Genomic DNA, 16,394 nt, shown 5'->3' with positions numbered 1-16,394 from the left:
CTATCAATGTCCCCAGTAACTGACAAGAGCAGGCACAAGGAGCAGGTGCAGTTCAGCTCCCCAGGTCTCCTTTCTTCTAAGCCCCTTCTCCTCATCTCCTGTGCTGGCCTCCTCTGCCCCTCCAGCCTTTTAATCCTGACTCTCTTACACTTGGCTTCCCACCAAACTCACTGTGGCCTTGACTTTCTGCTTGCACTAGCTGGCTCAATCCATAAAGGAAATAAGAAAGCAACTGGTGGTATGTCTGGGTAGAGCAAAGGATATTTTATTCCTCCTTCAATTCCTGCAACATTGCCAGAGTCATGACCCCCCACCCTTCTTGACCCTCATACCCATCTCCTCACTATCTCCTGCACTCAAAGATCAGAGGGCACCAGAAAACCAAAACCCAGAGCTCCAAACATGTCTGATATTAAATGTGGGCAAGGAAACTACCCAGGGGGTGTACCTGGGGATGCTGCTGGGTGGCAACAACCCTGTGCCATGGGGGTTTGGAGGGTAGGGTTGGGGAGGGGAGGACAGAAGAAGGAGGGGTGCTCAGAGGCGATTGGCAAGGAGGCATTCTGGGGTGGTGTCTGAAGAGCAGAGGAATGAAATGATGACTGTTTATTGGGTGTTCACTACATGCCTGAAGCTGATCTAAGCACTTTATTCATTGACTCATTCAATCCTTTCCAAAATCCTGTCCTGAAATACTGTTACCATCATCCTCACTTTACAGGTGAGATAAGTAATGCACAGGGACATCAAGCTAGGACAGCATGATTGAAACCCAGCTGGTCTAGTTGCAGAGGCCACGCCCATACCCTCCACCTCCACACAGCTCTCTAAAGGCCTCTAAGGAGCAGCAGAAGGCACCGGCATCAACAAGGTGGGGAAAGTGGAAAGGGAGCTGAGGTCACCAGACAGGCTGGGAGGGCACACCAGGCAGGGGCCCAGGACGGGGGTAAAATTCCTGGCCAGGAGCCCAGAAGGGAAGACAAAAGGAGCCACCAGCCAGGAAGAAGCCCGCATTCTGAGCACCTCCTCTGTGCCAGACCCTGTGCTGGGGGCTTTCACACAGTTTAGTTTGTTCTTTTTCTCCCCTGTATGCAAACCTTTGTAGCACCTTTTCCAGTTAAGTAAATGGGGCTTAGAAAAGTAAGTTACATGCCCCAGGTCTCAGCCTATAAGCACCAGTCAGAGGCATAAGCCCACGGCTACCTCCAGAGCTCATATGCTCTCATATCCTGAGCTCCAGGCCATAAGCATGAGGTTCCATTCTATGGGCATGGTCACGGGCAGGAATGGGGGCTCCAATCACCACACTGTCAAAGCAAGGTGGCCTTGGTACATACAGCCTTTGTTCCAGGGGCCAGGCTCACTTACTGAGCAGCAGGAGGATTCAGGACCTGCTGACACAGGTTGTGTTCACATTGCATCACATTATAGGCCAAGTTCATAACCCCTCATAAGGCTAAGACCACCTCCCACAGGGAGTGCCTAGAAGCAAAGGGGCAATCAAGATCCAATACCATGCTGGGCATGGAGGCTCACACCTGTAATCCCAGCACTGTGGGATGCCGAGGCAGGCAGATCCCTCGAGGTCAGGCATTCAAGACCAGCCTGGCCAACATGGTGAAACCCCATCTCTACCAAAAATACAAAAATTAGCAGGGCGTGGTAGCAAGCACCTGTAATCCCAGCTACTTGGGAGGCTGAAGCAGGAGAATCGCTTGACCCCTGGAGGCAGAGTCTGCAGTGAGCCAAGATGGTGCCACTGCACTCCAGCCTGGGCAACAGATGGAGACTCCATCTCAAAAAATAAAAAATAAAAAAGACCAAATACCACTTCTCCAGAGAAGAGCTGCTGAGCACCTGGTCTTCCCACAGGCAGAGGTGCTTTAGGGGCCACTTGCTCTGTTCCTTCATTCTCAAAAGACCCTCCCTCTATCTCTCAAGACTAGAGAGGAGTCACTGAAGGACCTTGGGCTTGGTACTGAAGGGCCTTGACCCTACTACACCAGCTCCTGGAAAGAAGCCCCACCCCGCAGAAACCAAGGCAGACAATTGCCCTCCCAGGTCCTACCTTCATTCCCATCCCCAGAGCCCTGAGCCTGTGCTCCTAGCACCTGCAAGGAGGTCCAGTTCCTATTGGCCGTTTCCTCCTATCCAGACCTGCACAGAGCTCCAGGCACTCCACCAGCCCAGCTGGGCTCTGGCTCTGTGCAGTCAGCTTCCCCTGGTCTCCATGGGAGGTGGGGGGAGTCCTCTATGGCTAAGGGACAGTGCTCACGTCTGTGGACTACAGGTGCAGGAAAGAGAGATTGCAGGCCTTCTCCAAGTCCAGGTCTCCTATTCCAAAGAGAACGAAGTTTAGGTAAAGGTCACCTCCAAAATAAGACCATCTCCCACTGCACAGCAGGGCTCTCTGGCAAAACCACCAAAGTGACTGCAAAGAGGAGGGGGAGTGATGGCCAGTGGCCCCTCTGATAATCATGTAGACCATGTTGGGCTCTTTTTCAATCAATAAAGGAATGTAAGTATCAATCATCGTCCTTTTCCTGTGGGGTTGCATGGGAGGAAGACCTGAAAGAGAAGGGAAGCAGATTCTATTCAGGCAGCCTTTGCCTATCTCATTCCCTAGGGCCTGGGGACCTTCCCTTCCTCTGATCCCTTTCTCAGACATGGTCTCTGATCCCTCCCTCAAGAGTAGCTGTTAGCCTAGCATTTCAAGGCCCCGAGTACCTGCCATGCACCAGACATCAAAACTGGAGATGCTGTGAGAAAGATGAGCTCTCATCTCAGAAAGCAATCAAGAGAGTCCCCAGAGGAGAGAAGCAAGGAGATCATCAGTTAGGATGGAGACAGAGGGAGGACAGAATGCACAGAGGGTGTGTGCCCAAGTCATTCTGGCTCCAGGCTGCCTTTCCAGCTCTCTAGAATGGAGATATGATAGGTGTTCACGTAGGGGTGGGAGGTGAGAGGAAAGGAATGGGGAGATGGAGGGGGTGGGGACTGGGAGCTGCCTGTGGGTTAGTAGGAGAACCCCAGCCTATAAAAAGCAATGCCCTTTTGATTCTATTCACACCTCTATTTCACGGTCTTGCTTTTTGCTGTTTCCTTGGAAACCTGTCCATCATAGCCTTCGATTGTGTTGTGCAGCTGTCATGTCTAAGGAAGGCACTTAGGGGGATCAGTGTCTCCCCACATGTCCCCATCTGGCTACACTTCTAAGTCCTGAGACCCAGCCATCAAAGAAACAGCAGTGCAATTTTTTCCCTTTCCTGGAATGTTGGTCTCCCAGAAGATTCTTCCCTAGATTCCGTCTCTTCCTCATTCTAAATAATTCTCTGAATGATTTTGTCCATGACAATGGCTTCAGTTATTCTCTGCGTGTTGGTGACTTTGCAAAACATACATCTAAATGCCTACTGAATATACAGTGTTAGCCTCCTATTGTGATTATAAAATAAAAAGGAACACCATAACTTTAGTAGCTTAAACCAACAAAAATTTATTTCTCACAGTTCTGGAGGTGAGTAGTCCAACATGGATCTCACAGGGCTAAAGCCCAGGTACAGGCAGGGTTGTGTCCTTCTGGAGTCTCTAGGGGAGAATCTGTTCCTTGCTTTTTTCAGCTTCTGGAGGCCGCCTGCAGTCCCTGGTTTGAGACCCCTTCCATCTTCGTAGCCAATGTCCACAGAAGACGGCTGGTGTTCTTATGTCATCACAGCTTTTCTCCGGCCCTCCTGCCTCTGTCTTTCATTTATAAGGACCCCTATGTGATGCTGTATATTGGGCACTTATATTGAGACCTTACATTGGGCCCTCCTGGATGGCCCAGGATAACCCCCAATCTCAAAATCCTTTTATGAGTCTGCTCAGGCTGCCATGACAAAGTGCCGAGACTGGATGGCTTAAACACCAGAAATTTGTTTTCTCACAGTTCTGTGGGCCAGAAGTCGGAGAGCAAGGTGTCAGCAGGTTTGGTTTCTTCTGAGGGCTCTCTGTTTGGCTTGCAGATGGCCGTCTTCTCCCTGTGTGTCCATGTGGTCCTTTCTCAGTATGTGTCTGTTCCTTAATCTCATCTTCTTACAGGGACACCAGGCAGATTTGATTAGGGCCCACCCTCATGACAACATTAACCTAATGACCGCTTTAAACACTCTGTCTCCAAATACAGTCCAATTCTGAGGTGCTGGGGATTCAAATTTTAATATAAGAATTTGGGGGCAATGCAGTTCAGCCCATAACACCCCTTAATCACAACTCAAAGTCCCTTTTGCCATATATAGTAACCTACTCATAAATTCCAGGGACCTGGATTTGGACATCTTTAGGGGGCCATTGTTCTGCCTACAACAAAAACCTTCACCTTAATGCCTCCAGCAGCGTATACTCGACCTGCCTCAGACTGAATTCCTCCTCTTCCTTCTTCTGTGTCGCCTGTCTCAGGAAACAACACCACCATTCAGTACCATTTAGCCAATTGCCCAAGCCAGAAATCTGGTTTTCTGGAGGAAATGTCAGAGACAACTACTTGCCTGTTGAATATCCTTTTCCCCCATCTTCTTTGGTAATAAAACCTCTAGTTTTTTTGAAGGCAGCAATATGCCTGGCTAAAGTATGATCCTTCCTAGATTCCCCAGCCTCCCTCATGACAGCAGTTGACCAATGAGATGTGTCTGGAAATCCTTAGTTGGAGGCCAAAAAAGCTCTCCGTCTGCCACAAGCTCTTCACCTGCCGGATGCTGCTGTCCCTTCACCCTTGCTTCTTTGGATGCAGACCCAATGGCTGGAGCTGCAGCTGCCATCCTGGGACCACTAACTGACCTTGAGAATAAAAGCCATTGTCAAGGAGGGTGGAGCAGAAAGTTATAAGATGCCTGTGACCTTCAAGACATCCAGGGAGCAACTGCACTGCCCAACCCCAGGCTACTCTTACAGAAGATAAACATAAAATTTTATCTTATTTAAGTCACCATTATTTTTGGTCTGTTACTTGCAGCCAACTGCAATTCCTACTTAGGTGACATGACTGGGAGAAGTTATTTTCTTCTTCTGAGTTTTGAATATGATTTGATTAGGTCCTGAACTGATATACTTAGAGCAAAGACTCTCATAAGTAAGTTCTGAATCAATGACATTTTATATTTGGCTGTCATCTATTTCAAAGCATTCCTCCAGTCTCTAAGGAAAGAGAAAATAGAGAAAAAAGTCAAAGCATCATGACTTTGATGGTTCCAGTCCTCTTCCCCTCCTATCTCTGAGGCTGCAGGAACTTTCTCACACTAGACATCCAGGTGGTGGACAGGGAAGAGTGGGGTTCACACAGGGCACCCAGCTTTCTCAGTGGCCTCTCAGGCTGGCCCACCCCTTCTAAGAGCTGAGGCAGGGGTGGGTGAAAGAGGGTGGTGAGGAGGAATTGTATTGGAGGAGACACCGCTCTCTCTCTCTCTTCCAGGTCTCAATCTCTGCGGTTGTCAAAATTAAGATTACCTAACCTTACCAAATGTACAGCATCATGTATGTTTAAGAGTTGACTCTGGGCCAGGCGTGGTGGCTCACACCTGTAATCCCAGCACTTTAGGAGGCCGAGGCTGGTGGATCACGAGGTCAGGAGATTGACACCATCCTGGCCAACATGGTGAAACCCCATCTCTACTAAAAATACAAAAATTAGCTGGGTGTGGTGGTGTGCACCTGTAATCCCAGCTACTCGGGAGGCTGAGGCAGGAGAATCACTTGAACCTGGGAGGCAGAGGTTGCAGTGAGCTGAGATCACACCACCGCACTCCAGCCTGGGCAACAGAGTGAGACTCTGCCTCAAAAAAATAAAAAGAGTCGACTCTGGAGGCGGCCCACCAGGTCTCACACCCCCTCAGGGCTTCCCAGCTGTTTGACCCTGAGTAACTTACTACAACCTGGAAGAGGGCCCTCACCAAACTCCAGCCAAGCTGGCTCCCTGATCTTGAACTTCCAGCCTCCAGAAATGTGAGAAATAGATGACTGTTGCCCATAATATAAGCCACTCAGTCCATAGCACTTTGTAACAGCAGCCTGAACTAACTAAAACAGTAGGCATTCAGTAAAATGCAGATATTGTTATTATCTTTGTCAGAAGAAGAGAGAATTTCAGGCTACAACAATAATGCAAGAATTCCCAAATCATCGATAAAAATAGCTTTACATTTGAACATGTAAAACCATATATAGATTGTTTCGGGTAGGACATAGATATCTGATTTCAAACAAAGGCTACAACATTTTGGCAACCAAGTGCAGGGTCTTACCCGTAACATTACTGTAATTATTAGAGATCCTCTTAAGACCCAGACTAATTTGCACGTGCACATTTTTACTTAGAATTTTGCTCAGAATCCAAGTAAGAACCTCACAAAAGTCAGGTAAGAACTTCAAGTAAATAATTCTGGGAGCAATTGCCAAACTCCCCTGGTGCCTATGCACGGGTAAGAGGGAAGAAGAGGCCAGTGGAACGTGCCTGCAGGAATTGCCATCCCTCAGGGGAGAGGGCGTGGCTGCTTTCTGGGACAGGCAGGGAAACCAGACTAGCAACTGGCACCAGGCATGACCCATGGTCAAGGCCAGAGCAGCTGCTTTCAGGTTCACCCCAACAAACAGATGAAAGGGAGCGGGGCTGGCCCCTGGGAGAGCCTGTGTGTGTGAGAAGAGACAGGCCAAGGTAGGTGTGGGTGGAGCCCACATGAGCTGCTGGAGAATGAGGAGTGGCTGCTCAGTCTGGAGGAGGAAGGGGTGGCCAGGGCTTGAGGCTGATGCCGATGTGGGAAAGGCATGGGATGGCTTACAAAGCTTTCTCCCATAAGGCCTCTGAAAGACCACACTGTTCCATTCATCCACTCAGTGAGTAGCTATGGAGCACCGGAGCACACGGCCTCAGTGCTGAGCTGGGCCCTGGAGAGAGGAAGGGTGTGAACAAAACAGACAAAAGTTCCTGCATTCTAGAACTTTCCCCTGCCAGGAGCAGACAGGCCACAAACAAGGACACCATCAAATGAGGAAGATGCTGTCGGAGAGTGATGAGGACTGTGAAGCCGAGAAACTGGGTGAAGGAGAGAGACGAGCGGGGGCTACTTAAGATTCTGGCTGTAGGAGGCCTCTCTGGAGAGGCAGCATTTGTGCTCAGACCTGAATGAAGAGGAGGCAGCCACGTGAAGATCTCGGATAGAACATTCCAGAAGAGGGAAGGGGAAAACAAGGGCAGAGTGGCTCCCTGCAGAGAGAAGGCAAGCAGTGTGAGTTGGAGACCACGTCTCACCTCTTTCTACCTCCCCTCTCTCCTCTCCACGCTGCCGGATGAGCCTTGTCAGTCCACCATGTTGGTCTGACTCACAGCCCTGTTGGGTGATGCCTCTCATTTGGTTGTTCTTCCCGATCTCTTTGGTTCACATGGCTGAAGGGTGTTCTGTTTTGTTTTTTTCTAATTTCTTATGATGTCTAGTAGCTTTTAAATCAAGTTTGGAAATCAAAATACAGTGAAGTTGTAGTTCTACAAAATGAATAAATTCTAGAAATATGCTGTACAGCACGGTGTATTGTGTGCTTAAAACTTTATTAAGAGGGTAGATATGATGATAAGTGTCTCAGGAGTCACCATTAGCACCCAGCTTTGCAAAACAGAAAGCTGGTAGTCCACAATAACCCCTTCCCTTTCCCTCATCCCACATTGCATCCACCACGGAGTTCTGTTGACTTCACTCCCCTGCAGGCTCTCAAATTGATCCACCTCTGTGGAAAGAGAGGTGTCTTTACTGTCCTCACCTTCCTCCTATCAGCTCAGCTGCAACTGTGCTTGCTGTTTGCCACACTCCCCTCTGATCTCAGCCCCTTCCAATCTGTTCTCTGTACAGCAGCCTCCTTAAAAAAATATGGATTGCTTGGGTGGGTTCCAAGTCTTTGCTATTGTAAATAGTGCTGCAATAAACATATGTATGCATGTGTCTTTATAGTAGAATGATTTATAATCCTTTGGGTGTATACTCAGTAATGGGATTTCTGGGTCAAATGTATCCCAGAACTTAAAGTAAAATTAAAAAAAAAAATTTTTTTTTGAGATGGAATCTTGCTCTGTCACCCAGGCTGGAGTGCAGTGGCGTGACCTCAGCTCACCACAACCTCTGCCTCCCGGGTTCAAGCGGTTCTCCTGCCTCAGCCACCCGAGTAGCTGGGATTACAGGCACGCACCACCACGCCTGGCTAGTTTTTGTATTTTTAGTAGAGACGGTGTTTCACCATGTTGGTCAGGCTGGTCTTGATCTCCTGACCTCTTGATCTGCCCGCCTCGGCCTCCAAAAGTGCTGGGATTACAGGCATGAGCCATTGCGCCTAGCCAAATAAAAAATTTTTTAAAAAATTTAAAAAATAAAAAATAAAATAGGGATCACATCCCCTACTGATTAAAACTCTCCAACAGCTTCCCAACACTCCTAGAAGAAAGATGTTAGCACGATTCTTTGCCCCTTCCTCCTCTCTGTCCCAGCCACACGGCAGGGCCATCTACCACCATCAGTGCTTTCATACACTCCTGCCTTACCTGGGAGCCTCTTCACACCCCTTTCCCTGGCCTCGCCTGCCCATCCTTTGAATCTCAGTTCCAACAGCAGAGCCTCAGGGAAGCCTTGGTCAGTGCCCTCTTTATCACATTCTCATAGATCATGGTCCTTCACCTCTGGCTGCTGATCTCTCATCTCTGTCATATTTACATGTTAATTTACATGATTAGTTCATGTCTGCTTTTCCACTGTCTTTCCTCTTCCTCCCTCTCCCCATTTTTTTTTTTTTTTGAGACGGAGACTTGCTCTGTCGCCCAGGCTGGAGTGCAGTGGCGTGATCTCAGCTCACTGCAAGCTCTGTCTCCCGGGTTCACGCCATTCTCCTGCCTCAGCCTCCCAAGTAGCTGGGACTACAGGTGGCTCCCACCACGTCTGGCTAATTTTTTGTATTTTTGAGTGGAGATGGGGTTTCACCATGTTAGCCAGGATGGTCTCGATCTCCTGACCTCATGATCCGCCCGCCTCAGCCTCCCAAAGCCTCTCCCCACTTTAGGCTCCCTGAAGGCAGGCGCCATATTCCTCTTGCTTGCTTATACCTGGCTTTGCACATCTTTAAAGACATCTTGGCAGCTTAGGAGTGCTGGACCCCAGCTCCAGTAGGAGGTCATGGCTAGAGAGGCAGTTAGGCCTGAAGCTCTAGCTCTGAAGCTCTGGGTGGAGCTGCCTGGGCAGGGCCTCTGGAACTTGGCACTGGGCCTGGCTGCGGGAGGAAGGGGGTGACAGCCAAGACCTCTGGCAGCTTAACCCTGGAACTTTGCAAGCAGGCTTTGCACCTGATTGCTCCTGGGGCAATCCAGCGATGCCAGAAAATGGTGACAGAAATATCGGCTTTAACGCCTAACCCAGCTGCTCTCATGGTGGTGATGCCTCAGGATTTCCATCTCAACATCTTGTACAATGTGCCCAGCAATGAACTTGGAGCTGAGTGTCAGCAGAAACAGGCAGCAAAAATAAACTGGTGTGGAAGGGACCCACATTCACAGTAGACCACTGAAGCGCTGGATTTCCCGGCATCATGGGACTTCAAGGTATTATCGTGGAAGCAATTTGCTTTGATGGGAGGTAGCTGGGAGACTACCTCCCCAGAAATGGGAGGAAGGAAGAGAGGAACAACACAGAGGCACTTTGAGTAGAGCTGAGTAGAGTTGGGGAGATTTGGCGAAGCAGCCTCAGCTTTTCCAATAAACTGGGAATGTCCCAGGAATTATAAAGAATGCATCTATTCAGTGAACACCAGGTGCTGGGCTACCAAGGAGAAGGCAGGGATGCTTGTACTGACAGGGATGCCCAGCCTCATGAGGGGGGCAGAAAACTAAACAAACTACTTGGATCAATGTAACGAGGACTAGTATAAAAGTACATAGGAATCCAGTTTTCACTTTAGGATAAGATAACTATTATCAAGAAAACAGAAAACAACCAATTTTGGTGAGGATATAAAGAGACTAGAACCCTCCTAGATCACTGATGGGATTGTAAAATGGTGCAGCCACTGTGGAAAGTGAATGGGATCCTCACATGAGAATGGGTTCCTCCAAAAATTAAACATAGGCTGGGCACAGTGGCTCATGCCTCGAATCCCAGAACTTTGGGAGGCCGAGGCAGGCAGATCACCTGAGGTCAGGAGTTCAAGACCAGCCTGGGTAACATGGTGAAACCCTGTCTCTACTAAAAATACAAAAATTAGCTGGGCCTGGTGGCGCACACCTGTGATCCCAGCTACTCAGGAGGCTGAGGCAGGAGAATCACTTGAACCCAGGCGGCAGAAGTTGCAGTGAACCGAGATAGCACCAGTGCACTCCAGCCTGGGAAACAGAGCGAGAGTCCGCCTCAAAAAAAAAAAAATTAAACATAGAATTACCATATGATCCAGCAATTCTACTTCTGGGTATATACACTCATACCAAAAGGAATCAAAAGCTCGGATTCAAATGGATATTTTTATACCCATGGTTATAGCAGCATCATTCACAATAGCCAAGAGGTGGAAGCAAACCTAGTGTCCACCCACAGGTGAATGGATACATAAAATGTGGTAAATACACGCAATGGAGCGTTATTTAGCCTTAAAAGGTAGAACATTCTGACACATGCTACAACACGGATGAACCTTGAGGACTCTATGCTAAGAAAAAGAAGCCAGTTACCAAAGGACAAGTATAGTATGATTTCAATTACATGAGGTAGGTAGAGTAGTCAAACTCACAGAGACAGAAAGCAGAATGGTGGTTGCAGGGGCTTATGGGAAGGCAGTCTGGGGGGTTAGTATGTAATGTGCACAGAGCTTCATTTCAGGACAATAAAAATGTTCTGGAGGTGGATGGTGGCGATAGTGGCACAATGCGAATGCACTTAATGCCACTGAACTGTACACTTAAAAATGGTTAAGGCAGCAAATTGTTAGTCACATACATTTTCTACAATGAAAATAAATAATTTTTAATTAAAAACTTAATTAAAGGCCAGGCACAGTGGCTCATGCCTTAATCTCAGCACTTTAGGAGGCCGAGGCAGGTGACTCAACTGAAGTCGGGTGTTTGAGACCAGCCTGACCCATATGGTGAAATCCTATCTCTACTAAAAATACAAAAATTAGCCAGGTGTGGTGGCGTGTGCCTGTAATCCCAGCTACTTGGGAGGCTGAGGCAGGAGAATCTCTTGAACCCAAGAGGCGGAGGTTGCAGTGAGCCAAGATCGTGCTACTGCACTCCAGCCTGGCCTGGGCAGTAGAGTGAGACTCCGTCTCAAAAAAAAAAATTAATTAAATGGGAATAAGAAAGAAACTAACTTGATTATCTGAGGATTTGGGAAACAACTGACACAAGGGTGGGGAAGAGGAAAGGGAGAAGAGTTGGTATTTGTATTTAATGCCCATGAGACGACAAGACCAGGTTCTAATTGCAGCTCTGTTACCTACTTGCTGGCTGAACCTAGGCAACTCTCTTAACGGCTTTCAACTCTGGAAGAGGAACAGGGCTGCAGGGAGGACAAGGAGATGCTGGATGTAGATCGATGTCCATTGTACATAAAGTGCAACACAAATGCATGGAAATACTATTATTATCTGCTGAAAGGGGGCAAGGTTACCAACCTGCGGAGAAGGAAGGTGATGAGCAGCAAGGAGGTGGTAATGGGAGGATGCTTTTGAGATGTGGACAGGAGTCATGAAGGTTTAGGTCAGCCCAGTAGGGAATAAGATAGGAAAACCAGAAAAGAGGGCTAGAGTTTCCTGAGCTGGAGGGAGGGTCCTCGAGCATGGATTACAGAGGTCCAGGCAGCGCACTTTGGGGAATTCTTATAAGACCCTGTGGGTAGCCTAACAGAGGAGGAATGAAGAGCTCTGAAAATTGTCAGGGGTCACTAAGATAAGAGCGAATACATTTCTGAAAATACTGACCCTAAGTCCCACACTGAGAAAAAGGAGGAGTAAATGAAGATTGATTGGGGAGCATTGATCAGGGTCAACATTTTTCCAGATTCTGGCACTATATCCCTGGCAGTATGGGAAGGGATTTCAGTTGGCAGACAGGCTCACATTAAAAGGCATAGCCATTTCAATTTTCATTCAATCTTTCCTATGACTTCCAGGACAAAGCCACTGGTTGGTGCTATTATGTTTTATGTACCTCTCTAAACTTTGTGAGTCTTGGGTCTTTATTTGAGAAAGAGAGCAATTTCAGTAGGCAACAATGTCTAGTTTGGAAATCAGCAAATCTGACCTGCTGCCTGGTTTTGTAAATAAAGGTGTTTTGTTTTGTTTGGTTTGGTTTGGTTTGGTTGGAGATGGAGTCTCCGTCTGTCATCCAGGCTGTAGTGCAGTGGTGCGATCTCGGCTTATTGCAACCTCCACCTCCCTGGTTCAAGCGATTCTCCTGCCTCAGCCTCTTGAATAGCTGGGACTACAGGCATGGGCAACCACACCCAGTTATTTTTTGTATTTTTAGTAGACAAGGTTTCACCATGTTGGACAGGCTGGTTTCAAACTCCTGACCTCAGGTGATCTGCCCACCTCAGCCTCCCAAAGTGCTGGGATTACAGCAAAGTTTTATTGGAATGCAGCCACACTCATTCATTTACATATCATCTCTGGCTCTTTCACCATGCAGTAGTCTGTTTTCATACTGCTATAAAGACATACCCAAGCCTGGGTAATTTATAAAGGAAAGAGGTTTAATTGACTCACAGCTCAGCATGGCTGGGGAGGCCTCAGGAAACTTACAATCATGGTGGAAGGGAAAGGGGAAGCAAGGCACCTTCTTCACAAGGTGGCAGGAAGGAGAAGTGCCCAGCAAAGGGGGATGAGCCCCTTAGATCTCGTGAGAACTCACTATTACAAGAACAGCATGGGGGAAACTACCCCAATGATCCAATTACCTCTACCTGGTCTCTCCCTTGACAGTTGGGGATAATGAGAATTATGTGGATTATAATTTGAAATGAGACTTGGGTCGGGACACAAAGCCAAACCATATCACACTACAATGGCAGTGTTGAATGGCTGTAACGGAGACCAACAAGATTGCCTGCAAAGCCCGAAACATTTACTATCTGGCCCAATACAGAAAGAGTTTGAGTACCCCTGGTCTGATTTAATTACAATTGTTTTGTGTTCAGTATATTTATTCCCAAGTACTTTCTGTCTAAGTCACACCAGTTTTTCACTGATGGTGACAATAACTGATTGCAGTTTTAACAAATCCATTTTTTTTTTTTGAGACGGAGTCTTGCTCTGTCGCCCAAGCTGGAGTGCAGTGGCACAATCTCAGCTCACTGCAAGCTCCGCATCCCAGGTTCACGCCATTCTCCTGCCTCAGCCCCCCGAGTAGCTGGGACTACAGGCACCCGCCACTATGCCCGGCTAATTTTTTTTGTATTTTTTTAGTAGAGACAACAAATCCATTTTTAAAAATTAACAAAATAATATAGCATTAACAAACGAATGTAATATTCTATAAGTAAGAGACACAAATTGCAGGGAATGGTACACTTAAACAATAAGTGAAGCTTGATAAACACTGGATTACGAGATTAGGGGGCGTTGAGGGATTTGAGGATGGTGAAGATAAAGAGCCACTTTGGTAGAGGTAAGGGATCTGAAAGATAAAATGGATCTGGGAAGAGGAGTTCATGAAAATAAAGGATTTGTACCCATCGAAGAATGGTGAGACAGCACTGCACGTCCTAATAGATTTAGTGAGGGTAGTATGGGGAGGCCAAGGGCCAGGCAGCTGCTACCAAGTGAAGCCCAGGTTGGTAAAGGGGAGAAAATGATGGTGCCAGAGAGTCATGGATGGATGCCTTCCAACCTGGGTTTTTCCTTACATAAGCATCATGGCAGAAATGTAAAGATTCCCAGCGGCAACCACAACAATAACACTTGTCCCTGTTTACAGAGTGCGGGTTCTAAACACTTCACACCCATGCACTCACTTACGCCTCACAGTAATCCTATGAGGAAATTGAGGCACAGAGAGGGTAAGTGACTTGCTCAAGGTCACACAGCAAGTGAGTGGCACAGCTAGGCACTCTACTAAGCTCTGCACCATGAAAAGGTAGGCAGACCTAATGAACAGGCCGGCATGGCTAGACCCACCCAACATCTGAGCCTGCCACCCAGGATGTGACTGGGCCTTTGTCATTCATGGAGTCAGGTCTGGGATCTGTGACGCTGGGTCAGCTGAGCACCTAGCTAGTCCATCCTGGTGTCAGTTGCCTGCCCTTTAGGATCCAGGTCATGGAGAGGCTGTCATCTGGTGACATCACGGATGACAAATCATGATGACTTTGCCAAGGGAGTGACAACGTCTCAGTTGCCGAGAAGAGGCGGAGCTGTGAGACAGCAGCAGAAAGACAAACCTCTCAGAGGCACAGGGGTGGCTGCAGCCCCAACAGCCCAGCAAAATCGCAGAAGGAGAGAGGCAGAGGGGCCCTCAGTGACCAAATTGGAAGTTGCAGGCCAGGGGCTAGGCGTCCACCTGTGCCTTCCACACCATGTTATGGTTCAGAAAGCAAATGTCCAGAGGAGTGTAACAGATGCCTACTGTCTTATACTTCCCTGTTTTTGCGATTTTTTTCTGAAATTATTAAATTGCAATATAATCTGAAATTATACCATTCATGTGTTAATTATTGCCTCCACTCTTAGCATCTTATGTCTGTGATGTTAGGTCAAGATCAAGATCATACTTGATCTTGATCCTGCTGCCTGACCCATAGTAGGTGCTAATAATATTGGTTCAATTTAAATCCCACTTCAGCTCAAACTTCAAAATGTGTAGGGGTCACTTAGGGTTACCCACTCGTGGAGAATGAGCACCTTGGCTTGGTGAATAGAGGTGACAGCAGCCAGAACCCAAGCAGGGTGAGAAGACCCCACCTTCTCAGCCTCTCGCCCAGGGACACAGACATAGCCAACAGCACCTCCGTGTCCCCAGGAGAGACAGGGAGGGGTTGAAGCAGTGCCTGCTGGCATGGAGGGCCACCTTCAATGGGGTGCTGACTTTGCAATTATGTTTTTTCTGAAAACTTGGCTTGAGAGTCTAAATTTTCTATCTATACTACAGCTAGAAATCAAAGGATGTCCAAATAAACAAACAAACCTTTTAGGTATTGCTATGGGCTGTGGTTGAATTCTGTCCTCCCAATTCATATGCTGAAATCCTAACCCCCAGTAACTCAGAATGGGACTTTATTTCGAAGTAGGATCTTTGCAGATCTAATTAGTTAGGATGAGTTCATACTGGAGCAGGATGGTGCTTCTTATAACAGGGGAGATGTGGACACAGACATGCGCACATGCGCACAGGGAGAACGCCATGTGAAGATAAAGGCGGAGATCAAAGTGGTGCATCTACAAGGCAAGGAACGTCACAGATGGCCAGCAAACCACCCAGAGCTAGGGCTGAGGCCTGGACCCCATTCTCCCTCACAGCCCTCAAGGGAACCAACCCTGGAGACACCTTGATCTCAAGACTTCCAGGATCCAGAACTGGGAGATGATACATTTCTATTGTTCAAGCCACCCTGGCTGTGGTGCTTTGTTACAGCAGCCCTGGCAAAGCATGCAGCTATTTCCAGCTGTGGATCCAGCCTTGGCAAGTGAGGAAGTCACAAAGGATCTCCGTGAGAAGAAGAGGGTGGTGGTGTTCTTCTTGCTAACGGGGGTGCAGCAAACTGCTCTCTGATCACCTGCCCCTCGTCCACGCCTGCCTCCGCCCAGGCAGTTTCTGGTTCCCACACTTGGAGCCACCCTCCTTACTCACTTTCATCTCCCTTCTTTTCTTTCTAGCCTGCCCCCCTCCAGGGCTCCAGACTCACCTGGCTTTGCATCAAACGTCCCAGTAGGTCTCTCCCAGCTGTGCAAATACCGAGGCTGCCTCAACACACAGGAGTGGTAACTTTGGGAAACAAGAGTAAGAAAGATACACAGGGGCAGAGGTGGAGGGGCACTTCACAGCCTGGCCAGTCACCTGGAGTGGGGCCATGGTTAGCGATTTGCCAGAATGGCCAGGTATTATGAGAGAGAACGCAGACCGCGGAACTGAGAGTATGATGTGGCCCAGTTAGATGGGACTACATTGACCAACCATGCCAGTTGACCCAGAAACAAAGGATTTTCCAGCATGCAGAAATTTTAGTGCTAAATTGTTGTCCATGGTGGACTAGAGCCACACACACAGGACTCTGCAAAGGGACCTGGGAACCTGTATATGGCTAGACCAGGACTCATTAGCCCAGCCCTGTGCAGACACAGCAGCAGTGCTTGTCCTGGCACTGGGAAGAGGCCATTGCTGTCCATCAATAGTTTTTCCCAAGAGACTC

The 16,394-nt window shown here is 48.1% G+C and overlaps 1 long non-coding RNA gene across 1 annotated transcript in view, besides 3 other annotated features; it reads right to left on the bottom strand.

The window, feature by feature from the left end:
- Positions 6,630-7,131: an enhancer, noted in NCBI's record as "H3K4me1 hESC enhancer chr17:10718319-10718820 (GRCh37/hg19 assembly coordinates)". NCBI's record gives its function as "activates a minimal SCP1, AML or CMV promoter by ChIP-STARR-seq in naive H9 embryonic stem cells {active_cell/tissue: H9 hESC(naive)}" and the evidence as "EXISTENCE:reporter gene assay evidence [ECO:0000049][PMID:30033119]".
- The window catches only part of TMEM220-AS1 (TMEM220 antisense RNA 1), an 85,388-nt gene continuing 75,962 nt past the window's right edge, over positions 6,969-16,394 (bottom strand). The window contains exons 3-4 of the long non-coding RNA NR_073458.1: positions 15,891-15,970; positions 6,969-7,234 (exon numbers count right to left, since the gene is read on the bottom strand). This is a non-coding gene — a long non-coding RNA (TMEM220 antisense RNA 1). The remainder of the gene's footprint in view (positions 7,235-15,890; positions 15,971-16,394) is intronic.
- Positions 13,880-14,379: an enhancer, noted in NCBI's record as "H3K4me1 hESC enhancer chr17:10711071-10711570 (GRCh37/hg19 assembly coordinates)". NCBI's record gives its function as "activates a minimal SCP1, AML or CMV promoter by ChIP-STARR-seq in naive H9 embryonic stem cells {active_cell/tissue: H9 hESC(naive)}" and the evidence as "EXISTENCE:reporter gene assay evidence [ECO:0000049][PMID:30033119]".
- Positions 14,380-14,881: an enhancer, noted in NCBI's record as "H3K4me1 hESC enhancer chr17:10710569-10711070 (GRCh37/hg19 assembly coordinates)". NCBI's record gives its function as "activates a minimal SCP1, AML or CMV promoter by ChIP-STARR-seq in naive H9 embryonic stem cells {active_cell/tissue: H9 hESC(naive)}" and the evidence as "EXISTENCE:reporter gene assay evidence [ECO:0000049][PMID:30033119]".

The sequence above is a fragment of the Homo sapiens genome, chromosome 17, assembly GCF_000001405.40.
Source record: "Homo sapiens chromosome 17, GRCh38.p14 Primary Assembly".
Lineage (NCBI taxonomy): Eukaryota > Metazoa > Chordata > Mammalia > Primates > Hominidae > Homo > Homo sapiens.
This window is presented reverse-complemented; position numbering and strand designations above follow the sequence as displayed.